This window comes from Homo sapiens, chromosome 15, assembly GCF_000001405.40.
Source record: "Homo sapiens chromosome 15, GRCh38.p14 Primary Assembly".
In the NCBI taxonomy this organism is placed as follows: domain Eukaryota; kingdom Metazoa; phylum Chordata; class Mammalia; order Primates; family Hominidae; genus Homo; species Homo sapiens.
In genome coordinates, this window is record NC_000015.10 from 80629812 (window position 1) to 80647212 (window position 17401).

The window sequence follows — 17401 nt, forward strand, 5'->3', positions numbered from 1 at the left end:
TCAACCTTGCCTGGCCCAGCCTGCAAAAGGAAGCTAATGAGGACCTGAGGCTGGCATATTTTTAATCTCAAAGTTAGAGTCCCTGGACTGGCAGCCTTAGCATCACCTGGGAACTTGTTAGAAGGGCAAGTTCTTAGGCCCCATCCTAAGATCTACCGAATCAGGAATTGGTGGTGGGTTGGGGACAGCGATCTGTGTTTTACCAAGCCTTCCAGGCTATCCTGATGCAAGTTTAAGCCCAAAAACCATTGTTCCCAAGCAGTGGATCCCAAATTTGTCTGCACTTTGGGATTACTAGGGAGCTTCAAAAAACTACTGATGCCTGTCCCAGTAGTGAACTGGAGTTGGTTTGTACCAGCTCACCACAGCTAATGTTTTAAATTTCAGAAATTTTGTGAGTCGGGTATTTAACACAGTCACTATTTAAAATTAAATTATATACATATAAACTTACAATGAACTAATTATATTAAAAATAAAAGTAATAAATATTCAAAACCCATCACCTCTAAATTACATTTAACTATTGTCTATGCTCTTGAGATTATTTATATTTTGTTTGTTTGCTTTTGTTTGAGACAAGGTCTCAAGTGCAGTGATCGTGACTCACTGTAGCTTTGACCTCCTGGGCTGAAGCGATCCTCCCATCTTAGTCTCCCCAGTAGCTGGAACCCCAGACGTGCACCACCATACCCAGCTAATTTTTCTTTTTATAGAGACAAGGCCTCACTCTGTTGCCAAGCTGGTCTCGAACTCCTGGCCTCAAGCAATCCTTCCACCTTGGCCTGCCAAAGAACTGGGATTACAAGCATGAGCCACTGTACCCAACCTTATTTACATGTTCTTTCTGCATGATGAAAACACTATGTCATGGTTTGCTGCTGAGCATCTCTTTTCAGCTCTGCATTCAGTGAAGGCACATTTGTAGCTGGAAATCAACCATGATGGGAATATTTACACCTCGGTAATCAGCAAATGTTACAGGTCAGGGCTTTTCCTCCCAAAGAGCCTGTTGTTAAGCATTTGCCGCATACTACTACTCATGTTCCACCCCAGAAGTTGTAATTTAATGGGTCTGGGATGTGGCTGGGCTTTGGAATTAAAAAAAAAAATCCCCAGGTAATTCTAATGTGCACCAACTCTGGGAACCACCATTCTAAAGAAAGTCAGCTCACTGCAGACCCCCCGCGGGAGTGCTTAGTGGGGTAGTTCACCCGTAGGCCCCTGCGCTCAACAGGCCCGACTGTGTTGTGTGATGACGTGGGAAGGAGTCCTCTTACTTCTCACAAACTCAGTTTGAGGGGGCAGGTAGTTAAAGTAGATAAGTGAAGAGAGTGAAGGAGGTGACACAGTGGCCAACCCGAGGGTTCACACCCCATTTGCACCTCACCCATGAGCTGTCAGCCCCAGCCAGGAGTTGCCACATGTGGAATGCTGGCTCAAGGCTACCAGAGCTTCTGATTGTTTTTAGATAAACTACAATTCTGGATATTTCAGTGAAATCTTCCCATCTTTAGGAAATCACAAAGGCCACACAAAACACACCTGCTAACCAGCTTCAGCTAGCAAGCTACTGATTTGAAACCCTTATCTAGCAAGGGTGGACCTCACACAGGATACATGAGAGTATGGCCACATTGCAAGTAAGTGAAAATGACTCGATAGTGCTGCTGGGGCCCCTCATCAGAAGGGTGGACCCCACATGGTCACTGGATTCCTCCTCAAAGCCCAGGTGGTAAGTTGGTTCCAGGGGTCCTGGAAAAGCAGGGGGGTGGCATTTCAGATTTCACCTCATATAGTTTAGTAGTCTCCAAATACAAGAAGAGAGGAAAAAGAACAGCAAATACTGATCACAAACCCCCTACCCCAGAACGTCCTGTAAACTGACATTTAATCATTGAAAATGATGTGGGGAAATGAGTGTGGCCATCCACATTCCCACAGCTATTTCTGGAGGTCAGCAAAACAGACCTCCAAGCACATCACCTTCAGGTGAGACCCTGGACACCTCACTGCCAATCCCTGTCTTAAGTTTTGGATGAAAATTTTTCAGATCCTGGACACTTTAGGCATTGGGTTAGTCTAATCACCGTCAAATCGCGGCCATGGAGAAATTAGAACCTTCCTACAGTGCTGGTGGAAATATAAAATGGCATGGCAGCTTTGGAAAGCAGCCTGGCAATTCCTCAAAAGCTTAAGATAGAGTTACCGTGTGACCCAGCAATTCTAATTCTAGATATATATTCAAAAGAATTGAAAGCATATTCACACAAAAACTTGCTCATGAATGTTCATAGCAGCATGATGCATACTAGTCAAAAAGTGACAAGAACCCAAATGTCTATCAATTAACGAATGGACAAACAAAATGTGGTCTTGCCATACGATGAAACATTATTCAGCCATTAAAAGGAATGAAGTACTGATACATGCCACAACATGGATGTAAGTTAAAAACATTATGCTAAGTCGGGCAGGGCATGGTGGCTCACACCTGTAATCCCAGCATTTTGGGAGGCCGAGGCAGGCAGATCACTTGTGGTCAGGAGTTCGAGAGCAGCCTGGCCAACATGGCAAAACCCTGTCTCTACTAAAAATACAATAATTAGCCGGGCATGGTGGTGCATGCCTGTAATCCCAGCTACTCAGGAGGCTGAGGCAGGAGAATCACTTGAACCTGGGAAGCGGAGGTTGTAGTGAGCCAAGATCTCACCACAGCACTTCAGCCTGGGCAACAGAGTGAGACTCCGTCTCAAAAAAAAAAAAAAAAAAAAAAGCCAAAAAACCCATTATGCTAAGTGAAAGAAGTCAGTCACAAAAGGCCACACATTGTATGATTTATAAGAGATGTCCATCCAAGATAGGCAAATAGATAAAAACAGAAAATAAATTAACGGTTGCCAGGGGCTGAGAGCAGGAGAAATAAGGACTGGCTGCAAATGGGGCTGGGTTTCCTTTTGGAGTAATGAAAATAATTGGCATTGGATAATAGTTATGGTTGTATAACCTTGCGAATATACTAAAAACTACTGAATTGTATACTTCAAAGTGTGCAATTTTAAAAATTGTGGCTACATATCTAAGCAGACAGCTTGTACTTTGGCAAAAAATATGTAAACATCCCATTCATCTCATTGTGGAGTGAATCAGGAAGGGAAGAAACACAGTGAGAGTCCCTCTGATAACAACTGATATTACAGAGGCCACAACGCAGGCTGTAACCAACATTTATCCCACCATGGCCAAGGAGGAGATGGACCTGAAGACACCTTCTATGTAATTTAAACACATTGCAAGTGCAGAATGTGAAAATGCAGAGGAAAAGCCCACAGAACAGGCCCCTCGTGTTTAGAATCCTGCCCAGCCATGCTCCAAGGTGGGAAACTCAGCTGCCCAGAGGCCCTCTTCAGGGATTCTGCCTGCTTTGCTGTATGACAGCCATTAGTCTCATGCAGCTAAGTTCTAATTGAGGCTGTAGTGACATGACTTGAAATTCACAAGATTAATTTTTGCAAACCATGAAGGGATTCATTTATTCTTAGTTTATGGAGATGACTCTGCAGAGGGGCAGTTGATTGTGCTATGAAAGCCCAACAGGGCTAAGCCCAGCCACAGTCAACCTGTCCATAGTTCTCACAAGAAAGGGAGGGATATGAGAGGACACACCCCCCAACAAGAGGAATCTTCTTCAGTCACAGAATTATTTTCATATGAAAACATATGTGGGAACAATGTCTAGGTAAGTGCTCAGGGCTGTTATGGAACTACAGCAGGAAGGCATGTTGATCAATGTCCAGTCAGGGAAACAAAAGTCACATCATGTTTTCCAAATACAGAGAAGTGAAGACAGAGAGTTAGTTACAAACTCACTGGGAAGGCCAGAGGAGCAGAAGGAGAGAGATCAGATTAGCCATAAACTAGAACTACAGGAAACCAGATCACCCTTAGGCAAGAGAGCTGACAGGGATACAGTGTTGCCTAGAGTTGAGAACCTAGATATTGGGAGGCTGTAGCTGTTGGACTCTTGCAGCTGACATCTTGATGCTCCAGGAAGTCAGAGCCTACACTCCTGCTGCTGCTGTTGGAACCAGGTACCCAGATCACACCTGCCAGCCTGACCCCACCTGAGCCTCAGCCCACAAACCACCATGCTGTTGAGGCTGCTGATGTACCCACTGCCATTGCCACTGCACCTGAGCAGGAGCCTAGGAGTCCACACTCTGCAATGCTGCGGCAGACAGAAAGGCTAGGAAGGGCTTCACTCTTTCTCCCCATCTTCCAGTCTCCTGCCACTGCTCTGCCATGGACAAAATCTAACCGGTATGCAGAATCTAGATGCAGTGTGCAGGCTCCCAGCCCCCTACCATACAGAGCAGAGCACAGAGGAGTGGGAATGGAGCTGAGGGGCAAAATGGCCAGCATGGAGTGAGTGGGGGTGCCTTTCACAGCCTGAGATAGCTAAACAGGGGCAGAAAGTACCTAATTTCTACCCCAGGCAGAGCTTCAGCTTGGAGAAAATTGGCCTTACCAAATACAGACAGATTTATTGGTCTATTTTTTATTCACTCATGCATTCACACATCAGTTCATTGGGTTAAACAGTAATGCAGCAAATAGTGAGTGCCAATAATAGTATCTGCTCTCCTTCCCTTTTTTACACCCTACAGATCTCTAAGGTCTTTGTGGACTTCTAGAATTCCCTATAATAATTTTTCCTTATCAGAGATTAGAGCCAACATCAACAGAAAAGGTATAACGGGAATGAGGAGGCTCCGGTCCAAGCACACAAAAAGATGCTCCCTGGAGACTGTGAGGGCACCAGGAGGCTGGTGCTGGAATCCCTCCAATTTTGTCATTACTGCTGGTTCGGCGTGCCTGGGGTTCACATCATTCTTTTTATTAAAAAGTGCACCTTTTCCTTGAGGGGACAGGACTTTCTCTGGCACATAATTCTTTTCTTCTTTTAACTTTTATTTTAGGTTCAGGGACACGTGTGCAGGTGTGTTATAATAGGTAAACTTGTGTCATGGGGGTTTGGTGTACAGATTATTGAATCGCCCAGGTGCTAAGCATAGTACCTGATAGGCATTTTTTTCTGATCCTCTCCCTTTTCCCACCCTACTCCCTCAAGTAGGCCCCAGTGAATTCTAAAGGGACTTTGTCACATGGAGTTTTCTATGATACGCTATGATATTATGAGACACTGCACAGCATCCTTGCTCCCATTGTCCCAGGGAGCCCAGAGCAGAATCTACATGACTGCTTCTACTGGAGCCAACAGAGAAAAACCAAGGAGCTAACCAGAGTCATGCCTGCTGGCTGCAATGGCCCCTGCAAGTACCTGGGAGTTTGGAGGAAGCACACGTGTTCTGGAGGAACAAGTCTCAGTGCCCTCAGACCTCAGCTCTTGCCACTTTGAAGAGCCTTGGGCTAGCTGTTGATATGGGTGGTGGATGGGTGGACCAGGGAGGGTTGTGACTCTACTCAGTTGCTTCCTGAGGTTGCATTGCTCCTGCTGGGGGAAGGAAAGGCTGATGATCATAAGAAAATGGCCCTTTTCCTTGGCTAAGCAAACGATCCTCTTTCAAAATCAACTTTTTAGCTCTTCTGGCAAGGGCCTTAAACAGAGTCAGAGAAAACCTCTTTGTGAGTAGAGAAAATCTGAAAGAAGAGAGTGAAGACACTTGAAGAAGAAGTTGTCCTGCAGGTCACAGTGGCCCCAGTGAATGAGGCACTGCAGGCCTTGGAGGAGGGAGTTCCAGAGAAAAGGTTCTGATGTAGCCAAACAGGTCCTGATGAGCTAGACCCAGGTGGGGTAGGCATGGAAGCAAGGAAATATCCCAGGCTGGGTCACAAGGAGAAAGCAAAAGATAGAAGTGGGATCTGAAGGGAAGGGTCAAAAATGGTGAGTAGGTAATACAGAGTAAGAGGGTTCAGAAGGCAGGCCGTGAAAAGATCCGAGAGTCAAATGGGGAAAGAAGATGTGCAAGGGCACAGAAGGAGATACAAGATCATGGAGTTCATTTCTACACTACCCTTTTTTTTTCTGGTGTCCCCATGGATATGGTGTGGCAGTGGTGGAAACACCCTGTGGAGGTGCTTCAGATCCCAGAGGCAGGTTCCCACCAGCACTCAGCAGATGTACTCTCCTGGTGAGCTAGGTACTGAGCCGGCCGTGGTACTCTGAGGAGTGCCTGACTTGCATTTCCCGTTTCTGCATCTCCAGCGCAAGCTGCTGGCACACAGTAGTGGGACAAAACAAGGAGCAGGGAGAGATGGGATTCATGCACACATGACTTACAACAGCTGGCTCATTTCTGCATAAGCAAGTACAGCACATATCTCTCCCACTTAAATGAGCCAAGGCTGCGCAGCACACTACTGCTGTTCTTGGCTGCAGAGTGGCCTGTGCTCTGTGGCCAGAGTGACCATGATGCACACTCAGCAGGACTGGGGGGAGGCCATAATTGAGTGATGGTTTATTGATCCTTCTGGTGGGAGGAGTTCAATAAGGTATATGAGAATTCTTTGAAGGTCAAGTTGATAATCTCATGGTGTTCCATAGATATGGCAATGAACATATTTCACATCCTAGTTGGTAGATGTCATTTTGCCATCTGGAGTTACCAACAACTGAGTAGACCTTGGTGGAGCCTTCTTCCAAATCCAGGAGTCCAACAGGCTGTCTGAGAGCACGGGTATGGAAGGTCAGTTCATGGAAGGAAGAGCATCTCAGTGATCATGAAGTAGACCATAGATGGAGGAGCTATGGTCTACTCCTCCAGGAACTAACCATTCTGGTGAGAGGAACTACCAGAGGGTCCTGAGCACAGTGAGATAGATGAGATGGATGGGAGATCAAGTCTAGGTGAGACGGGTTCCCAAAAGTATCATGCCCCAAGGATCTCACCTTTCTCTACGTGCTGCTTAGTGGAGCCAGGGCTAAGAACCTGCAAACTACATTTCTTAGATCCCTAGACAATGGCCTATTTTAGGTTTGCCAAAAGGAGGCGTTAGAGAGAAACTGAAAGGGGAGCAGAGGGGAGGAGGGATGCCCCTCCCGTTTTTCCTGTTCCTGCTTGTATCGCTTCAGCAGGAGCAGTTGGCTTCAGCTTCCAGCTTCTCTTGGCACTCCCAGAACCAGCCTTGCCTGCTGAATGCCAGTTCTGAAGCGGATATCAAGATACTGTCTAAGAAGGTCTAGAATGGCATCCAAAATGTGTTCATCGGGTTCTGAAAGAGGATCAGGGCACCATATGGCCAAATGTTATCATAAGGAGTAAGGCATGTCCAGAAAGCCACTTTCCTCTGTACTATCTCTCTGGATACAGAGGAGAAAGGACTCAAAGAGGCACTTCAGAGAATAAACTACAAATTGCTAAAAATTAAAAAATTCATCTAAACAAAACAAAAAACCGACCGTGGTGGTGGCTCACACCTGTAATCTCAGTACTTTGAGAGGCCAAGGTGGCAGATCACTTGAGCCCAGGAGTTCAAGACTTGCTTGGGTGACAGAGCAAGATCCTGCCTCAAAAAAAAAAAAAAAAAAAATTGTATAACCATGCACATACACAAAACTTCAACTTCACCAGTAATTAAAAAAAAAAAGAAATAAAAATCAATATTGATATTTGCCACTTTCTACTCACATTGACAAAATTATGTGAGAATGATAAACACTGATTCTCAGGAAAAAATTATTGATGAGCACAAAATAGATTATATGATGGATTGTTTGTTAGGGTGTTATTTATGATGGTGAGGAAAGTTAAGTTACATACCAAACAATAGAATGATATTAATAAGTATAAATCCATAATATAAAATATTATTTAGATATTTAAATAATCCTATAAATAAACATATACTGCCACATAAAATGTGTGTAGAATATTACTTAATAAAGTAATTTAAATAGATAATATATTCATCTAGTAAGATCCCATTTATATTAAATGTATGAATGTATATGTATATATGTGCATGTACACATACACATATATACAATCATGCATCTATTAATGATAAGGGTAAGTTTGGAGAAAGATGTTGTTAGATTATCTCATCATTGTGTCAACATCAGAGTGCGCTTACACAAACCTAGATGGTACAGCCTACTACACACCCAGGCTGTATCGTATAGCTTATTGCTCCTAAGCTATGAACCTGTGCAGCATGTTACACTGCTGAGTACTGCAGGCAATTTTAATACAATGCTAAGTATTTGTGTATCTAAGCATATCAAAACATAGAAAAGGTACAGTAAAAAATACAGTATTATAATCTCTCTGTTGTTGACTGAAACATCGTTAGGTGGTTCATACTGCATATGAAAGAGGTATTTGTAAAAGGAAAGATTTTTAAAGTCCTGATGCCGAGGCCATACGCAAGCCAATGAAATCATAATAATTTGTCGAGTGGGACCCAGCCCTCAGTTTTTAAAGCACTTCAGGTGATTACAATGTATAGCCACGATTGCAAATCACTGATCTAAGCACATCCCACCTTATTCTATACACTCTCCTTTTCACCTCCAATATTAAACTTCTATTTTTATATATGTTTCCCAATCTATTTCTTTTGGTAACATTTGGCCCTCAGGAAAATAGAGAATCCCAATGTTGGTTTGCTACAAAGAAGCCTGGAGCAGGCTGGGCACAATGGCTCACGCCTATAATCCCAGCACTTTGGGAGGCCGAGGCAGGAGGATCACTTGAGAGCCCTGGAGTTCGAGACCAGCCTGGGCAACATGGTGAAACCCAGTCTCTACAAAAATTAGCTAGATGTGGTGGCATGTGCCTATAGTCCTAGCTACTCAGGAGGCTGAAGTGGAAGGATTCCTTGAGCCCAGGAGGTCAAGGCTCCTGTGAGCTGTGATCACACCACTGCACTCCAGCCTGGGCAGCACAGAGAGATCCTGTCTCAGAAAAAAGAAACCTCACGCATTTTCCTGGTCAGGGAGTCTGGACGGTCTTGGGAGCCAGTCTGACTCTGCTCGAGTGAATCATCCACAGATATCACAGATATCAGGTAGAATCTTCTAAAAGTCATTCTGAGCAGAAGCCTGAAAAAGAAACACACAAGCACATACACAGCAGAAGCCAGGGCTGACTCCCCATCTGGCCAGGAAGAGTTGCAGAATATTTGATGTTTATAACATTAACTCTCTTTCATTAGTGACCTTTCATTAAGTTGAATCATTTCCTTTGGAAATAAAAGAAAATGCCTCAATTGTTTTTGACAAGTTCTCTTCATCTTTGAAAATATTTTGCAAAATGACTTCTTGCATTTGCAACCTCAGACTTCCTCTAGATTTTCTCCCTATTGACCTAAGCAGACAATTACAAAATATTGTTGGGCAAAGTCTTAATCTAGCAGGGAAAATTTTCACATTGGAGTTGAGGGATCTCTTAGACTTCACCGTCTGCAACCCCCTCTGCCATTTTATAGCTTGGGAGCTGAAACCTAAATGCCTTGGTTGGGGTTAGCCAGAATATTAATAGCTGAGCTGGGAATGGGACCAACTGTTTGCCACCTCCCTTAGCATGATTTTTGCCAGATCACACTGTGTGGGCCATAAGTATTTCATTGCAACTTTCTCTAGTGCCACCAGATTGCTGCCTCGTTCAGCAGTAAAGTGCATGGCCTCTTAGTGTCAACATGCCCCAGGTTCAAATCCTGGCTCAACTAGGTATTAGCTGTGAGAATTTTGTCAATTTACTTAACCTCTCTGTGTCTCAGTTTTCTCATCTATAAAATGGGGATTCACAGGATTCTCATAAGGCCTAAATGAGTTAATTCATGAAAGGAATGTAGAACAGCGGTGGCCATAGTTACAGCCATTTTTACCTCCATGAGGCACTTTATCCTGTTGTGAGGCACTGACCTCACTCTTGCTTCACTTTGGCCTTAGATGCCCCTCATGGTGTTCCATTTCCCACGCTGAGCCTTGAAAGTCTGTGTCCTGTACCAGATATGAGGGGCCCCTCACATGCAAACAGCGGGAAAAGCTGCTCAGCTTGTAGTGAAGAGGGAGGATGGAAGGCTTGGGACGTGGGAGCAGACAAAGGGCTTTCAGGACCAGAGGTTTCAGAGCACTTTTGTTCAAAGCATTGTTCATTCAGCCCTTCATCAACACCTCCTGACTAAGCCACTTGGTATAATTACCTTGCTCCAATAAGAATCATTAGCATTTTCACAGCTAAAAATGCTAAGAACCTTCATATATATCGCTGGCCACTTGCACTGGAGGGTGGAGACTGTGTTGCAGCCCTGCTCGGCCTTTGAGGTCTGGCGTGGGCTTGGGCTAGATCTCTCCCTTCCCTGTGCCTGCCTCCACCTTTGCCCAGTGGACGCAAGATGGCTTCCACCAGTCATCAAACGCTATAGCCTTTTCTTACTGGGTCCTCATAATACCTGGTAGTGAGAGCAGATGTTTTGCCCCATTTTATGAATGAGGAAGCCTAGTCTCAGAAAGACTTGGCAAGGCTATGGGTAAGTGCATGGAAGAGGTCCCTGGGTCCACAACTTCTGTTCGTTACTCCACATTCTTCTGGACTCTACCCATGTTCTTGCACCTGCCACCATGGCCTGCCTCTCACTACCCTCATCCTTTTCCTCAACCATCTATATCCATTCACTCTGGGCTTCTCTCCGCAGACACTCATATTCCATCAAAATCTATCTCCTTTCCTTCTCCCACCTCTTCCAGGGCCTGGTTTGAGGCTAGACCCTTAGTCAAAGTGATTCTGCCTGAGACAATGATGGTCCAAAATGGGGTCACGAGTTACTACTTTCAGGAAATGAAACTCATATTTAGCATGCCTTCCTCAAATCAAAATGCCATCCCCAAAGGGAATGACTCATGGATGATGGAAATTTCTGGTACCTTGGCAGGCCAGAGTGACAGCTGCTGCCCTTGGTGAAGCTAGCCTATGGAGAAGCAGACAGAGACCTGAGTAAGCCTAGTGGCTGAGTCACCTTGGGCTCATCACTCCCCTCACTGACCCTCAGTGAAGTTCCTCTGACCCTCCGGTGAAGGGGTGAACCAGATTCTGGCTGAGATAAACTCCAATCCATGTTCCATCTTCTCGAAAGTCCCAGCACACACAGTCTTGGGTCTGTGGATCTTCCTCAAAATTTACTGGTATTTTGCCTTCATCTCTCCTACCTTCCTTATGAGGAGTTTCAAATTACCTAGAAAAGTCCCACTTGATCATCTCCCTTCCAATAGCTTTAAGATGTATCAGGTTTGTTTTTTTGTTTTTTTTACCTTACCTTGGCTTCCATTTTCCTGTTTGCTTCTTGCAGACAGAGAAGCCAGAAAGAGGGAATCAAGAAAGTGTTGAATTCAATGAATACTTCTTTAGTAACAATTATCTGTCAGGTACATGGAGCAAATAAGAAGGAGCATGGGTCATGATTTTTGCCCTCAGGACCCCAAACTACAGTCCAGTCTGAGGTGGGGCCAGATGAGGACCATAGGAGAGGAATGAAGCAAGAGCTGAGCGGGGGTTGGGAGAAGATTTGCTGAGCATGGAGTTGCTCAGCAAGGTAAGAGGGGCAGCCCCACTAAAGACAGAAAAGTGAGTCTGCATAGGGTGTTGTCTTTCTTTTGCATTTATTACACAAACAAACAGCAACGATGGAAATCATGGGGGAAGAAATCATCACAATCCTCCCCGCTAACACATCAGATGTTTTTATTTTTCCAAGTGCTTTTCCAGGCCCTGGTGACATTTATGCAAAAATGTTATGTTGTGGTAAACACAGCACGAGCCCAGTTCCGCATCCAGCTGTTCTCACTTAGCCAAGCATGTCTCTGTGTTGCTACACAAACTTCATCGGTTTAACAGCTGCACAATATTTCACCGGGTGCTTCCACCAATACCACCAACAATGAATGGATGTGCCGGCTTCCTGAAATGTGTGTACTGATTAGTGCTGCTATTATTATTATTATTATTATTATTATTATTATTATTATTATTTTAAATGTTTATTCATTTGTTAAACATAGAATTGTTATATTTTCTGTATTTCCTTGATAAGTAGAAGGGTTGAACATGTATCAGTTCTTTTGTTTGCTAATTATAGCTCCTCTTGTTGGAATGATCTGTTTGGGTTCTTTAGTTTCCCTGGACCTGCTACGGTGTACATAGGGTGAGTAACAGCCCTGGTTTGCTCAGGACTGAGGTGGGTTCCCTGGGCATAGGGCTTTCAGGGAGCCCTCCTGAAAACCCAGGATAAGTTGGTCACCCTATTTTTATATAATAGGCACAGCAATTGTGCAGTTAGTTCTTGATGAATTCCATTCCACGCTCCCAAATAAGCCTTCCTTTCTTCTTCATCTGTAATAGTCATAAGAGTCATTATAAGAAATACATGAAATAGGCCAGGCGCGGTGGCTCACGCCTGTAATCCTAGCACTTTGGGAGGCCGAGGCAGGCGGATCATGAGGTCAGGAAATCGAGACCAACATGGCTAACACAGTGAAACCCCGTCTCTACTAAAAATACAAAAAAATTAGCAGGGCATGATGGCGGGCGCCTGTAGTCCCAGCTGCTCGGGAGGCTGAGGCAGGAGAATGGCGTGAACCCGGGAGGCGGAGCTTGCAGTCAGCCGAAATCTCTCCACTGCACTCCAGCACTCCAGCCTGGGCAACAGAGCGAGACTCCGTCTCAAAAAAAAAAAAAAAAAAAAAAAAAGAAGGAAATGAAATAACATAGTTCAGGCACTTAGAACAGTGCTTGGAACATAGTACTTAATAAATTTAGAGGAAGAGGGTATAGCATATTGATTAAGATTTTGTCACGTAGAATCACACTGCCTGCATTCAGATCCTGCCTGCTTGGTTTCCTCCTCTGCAAAACTGAGATAATAATTACCTGTGTCATACTTCTTATGAAGATTAAATGAGCTAATTTAAGCAAAATACGTGGAATAGGGTCAGGCAAATTGTAAGCCCCCGGATGTTAGCTTCTCTTTATGGTAGTAGAAATGGCAGTCATATGTACCAGTAACTGCCATTATTGATCATCTACTACATCAGGCACTGCTAAGGTGACCAGCTGTCCCAGTTTGTCTGGATTAGTATGGGTTTAGCACTGATGGCCTCATATCCCAGGAATCTTTCCATTCCAGGCAAATTGGGATAGCTGGGCATCCAGGTACTGTGAGAATTTTATTTTATTTTATTTTTAATTTTTATTTTTTGAGATGTAGTTTCACTCTTGTTGCCAGTCTGGAGTTCAATGGTGCGATCTCAGCTCACTGCAACCTCTGCCTCCTGGGTTCCAGTAATTCTCCTGCTTCAGCCTCCCGAGTAGCTGGGACTACAGGCATGTGCCACCATGGCTGGTTAATTTTTATATTTTTAGTAGTGATGGGATTTCACCATGTTGGCCAGGCTGGTCTTGAAGCCCTGGCCTCAAGTGATCTGCCCACTTCAGCCTCCCAAACTGCTGAGATTCCAGGCATAAGCCACCGCTCCTGGCCAGGTACTGTAAGAATTTTAAATGATCTCATCTTGTCACCCAACATCCCTTCACTTTTACACATACAGAAACAGGGACTCCAAGCAGTTAAGAAGTTTGCCCAGGTGACACAGGTGGTGAGGACCAGAGCCGGCTGGCCCCAGAAGCAGAAGTTGCCTCACTTCATGAGCAGCATCTTCACTGGGAAGGGGCTGGATACTGCCCGGAGGCTGACTCATGGTCACCAGAGATCATCTTTTTCTTTTTAATTGTGGTGAAATATGCATAACGTTAAATTGACCACTTTATTTTGAAGTGTCTATTTCAGTGGCATGAAGTACATTCGCAATGTTGTGCAACCATCACCACCATTTCCTGACATTATCCTTTTACAATTTTTTAATTTGGTCATGTGCTGACTCTTTCTACATTTATACCACCCTCACCGTGTGCGCAGGAAACAGAGGGTTTTCACTCCCAGGAAAGCCCTGTGAGCCACCAGTCATCCTGATGTAAGCCGAACATCATCTGCTTGCAGTTACACAAGTGCCAGTAATACTGAGTCTGTGGCTATGGCCACATATGCCTCACCTCTCCCATCTCCTCTTCCTCCTCTAAGTGTGTCCACTGAGGTACCACAAAGGACTCAGCAAGCTGAGATCAGGAATGAAGGGATCAGCATTGTTTCATGGAAAGTATTTGAAAGAGTGATGAGTCTGCACTGCATCTGGGCAGATGCTTTTGTTCAGGGAGGTGATGCCTCCGGCCTCTCTGTCCAGGAGACCATAAGACCCAGCACTGGGAAATCCTCCATCACGCTGTGACTAAAACCAAACCTGAAGCATGTGAGTTTAGCCCAGTTAAGATGCTCCTGAGAACACGGCCCATCAGTCCCTGCACATTAAGGCTGCTCAGGGACCGGCAGGCAGCCTCCGGGTTCCCGTGAGGGTGCAAGGCTCCGAGAGAGCTGCACCAGCAGTGGGGTTGGGCCAGGAGTGAGGGCTGTCTTCCTTCCCCCGAGTTTCTACCACCCACCCTTTCTTTGAACTCTCTTCAGATCTTTATCCCATTCATCTTTTGCCTTCTATAGACCATGGACTCCTGGAGGGCAGGAACACCATCTCACTGCCGCCTGTGCTTGAGCGTGCAGGCGCTCAATCACCTGCATTGCCTCAGAGAAGAGCAGGTGTCTTAGGGGTTTGGTCCTGTGCTAACTATGGCAAAGGACTAAGAATATGAAAATAATAATACTAAGCACTTTCTCTCTTTTCTTTTCTTTTTTTAAGACAGGGTCTCATAAAAGACAGGTCTTTTGGGCTGGAGTGCAGTACACAACCATGGCTCACTGCAGGCTTCAACTCCTGGGCTCGAGCAATCCTCCCGCCTCAGCCTCCCAAGTGCATCACCAAGCCTGGCTAATTTTTTATTTTTTTATAGAGAGGGTGGTCTCACTACATTGCCAAGGCTGGTCTTGAACTCCTGAGCACAAGCGATCCTTCTGCCTCAGCCTCCCAAAGTGCTGGGATTACAGGCGTGAGGAACCACTTCCTGCCTAAATACTTTCTGTGTGCCAAACTCTGTGCCAATGCTTTCCATCAAGTGTCCTCACCACGACCCTATGAGGAGGTTCATGCCCTTTTTTAACCATAGAAAAACTGGAGTGAGTTCAGAGGAGTGTGACAAGGGACATGAGTGGCCTTTGGGGTGAGCTTACTGGGTGATAAGAGAGGCCTCCCGAGGGCAGGATGCCCACTCAGGCAGGCTCTGAAAGGGAAAGGCTACAAGAACTGCAGGGGCCTGCGGAGGAGAATGTGCAATAAACAGAGGCCTATAGAAAATAATTATTCTTGCAAGGGCTGTGGGGGATGAGGCGCAGAACTCAAGGCGCTCAAATTCGATTCAGAACAGAGGCTGGGAGACCAGGCATGGTGGCTCATGCCTATAATCCCAGCACTTTGAGAGGCCAAGGTGGGTGGTTCATTTGAGGCCAGGAGTTCGAGACCAGCCTGACCAACATGGTGAAACCCCATCTCTACGAAAAATACTAAAATTAGCTGGGCCTGGTGGTGCGTGCCTGTAATCCCAGCTACTCGGGAGGCTGAGGCAGGAGAATCGCTTGAACCTTGGAGGCGGAGGTTGCAGTGAGCCCACATTGCACCACTGTACTCTAGCCTGGGTGACAGAGTGGAAAAAAAAACCCAAAGAACACAAGTTGGCAAGGTGGCAGCCTCTGGAGAAGGCATTGGTTGGGAGGTGAGCTGCACCCCCAAGATGTTGTTCTGCTCTATAATTCTGGGCTGGGCTGAGGATGTGGTCAGAAAGCACCATCACCCAGAGGGAGCTCAGAGGATGAGCAAAGAAAGAACAGCTTCCCGAAGAACATTTCCTCTGTTTACTCACTATAGCTTAAGCAGAAGGTGTCTGCTGTGGTGGCTTTGCCTGGAGTAATTTGTAATTGACACAGTTTTCACGACCTTCTCTGGGTTTCCTCTCATTTATTTTTTTTTTCGGTTAACAGAATAGTGATGAGTAATTTTATCTGACTTCACTGTGACATCAACTGGCACATCTCCTAAAGTAGCCTTTTGTCTACTGACTGCCCTTCAGGGGGATATATTTATATTTATGTCTCATTTATTCTCCTCCTCTGTGGATTGTGGTTTTCTGGGAGAGAAGTAAACTCCACTTTAGGGGAACATGGAAAATCCAATTGTTTAATAGATGATAAATCGCATTTCCTTTCTCTTTTTTCAAAAGATGAGCTGTTAAGAATCACATGTTAGGAACGGTTGTCATGCTAGAAATACATGGCTCCCAATGTTTACACCTTATGAGTTTCTGGGGTATTGGCTGCCATTTTTACCCATTTTTTATTTTATTTATGTTAATACTCTGTGCCATTTGGTCCACTACACCTGAACATGAATTTATGTCCATCTGCATTCATTGATCACTCGGCTCTTTACAAACAGGGCCCTGTTCATGCAGTCGCTTTCCATCCTCATGCATTCTGCTTCAGAGGTACTGGATCACTTACCACTGTCCAGGTGCTCTGGGCTGTCTCCCCTACTATGTCTTTGCCATGCCATCACCATTGCAAAAAAGAAGAAGAAGAAAAAAGCCTTCCCACTTATTATCTGCCTTGATCATGCCTATAAATCTATTTGGTACCAGTTCAGCCCTGCACCTTTCTCCTGGAGACCTTCACAAGCCTCTCGTCTAGTTATAGCACCCTCCATTCCCCTCTGTCACATGCTATCATGATGGTGCTTGTGTGGGATCTCCTTGAAGGCAAAGACCTGACTTTGTATCTTATTCATTCTTATATCCAGGGCCATTGCATTGCATAGTGTGTGGCATGACATAATTTCTCAATAAATCCATATTAAGTAAAAACAAAACAAATATCTCTGTAGGAAAGGATTCAATTCACTATGCCACGTTCTCCATGAAGACTTCTTTGATCCTTCCAACCTGGAAGACATTTCTACCTGTGGGCTCCTGCTCACTCCACCTGTGCCTCCCTTTGAACCTGATACCTTTCTGATTTTCCATTCTACCAGCAAACCGCCAGGAACGCAGGAGGCGCTAAGTGGTCACCAAATGAAAGTTAGTTGAAAACGGAACTGAATTTGCTCACAGTCACACCGAGATAATCATTCTGGAATACTCTTGCATCCATGCAGTTTTTCCCTCACATTGTGAAAACAACATTCCTAGGAATCCAGAGAAGAACTTCAATCCTGAAACAGAATATTCTGTGTGAGTAGTATCTCCATCTTTCCCTGACTGTAGAGGTACATGGAATTTATTGTTGTCGTTGTTGTCTTGAGGTTCTCAGAATTTTAAAGGTCTACAGTTGGGCTTTAAGGAACTTGAAAGGTCACCTAGCCCTTTAAAGCCACTTTATCGGCCAGCCTCGGCCT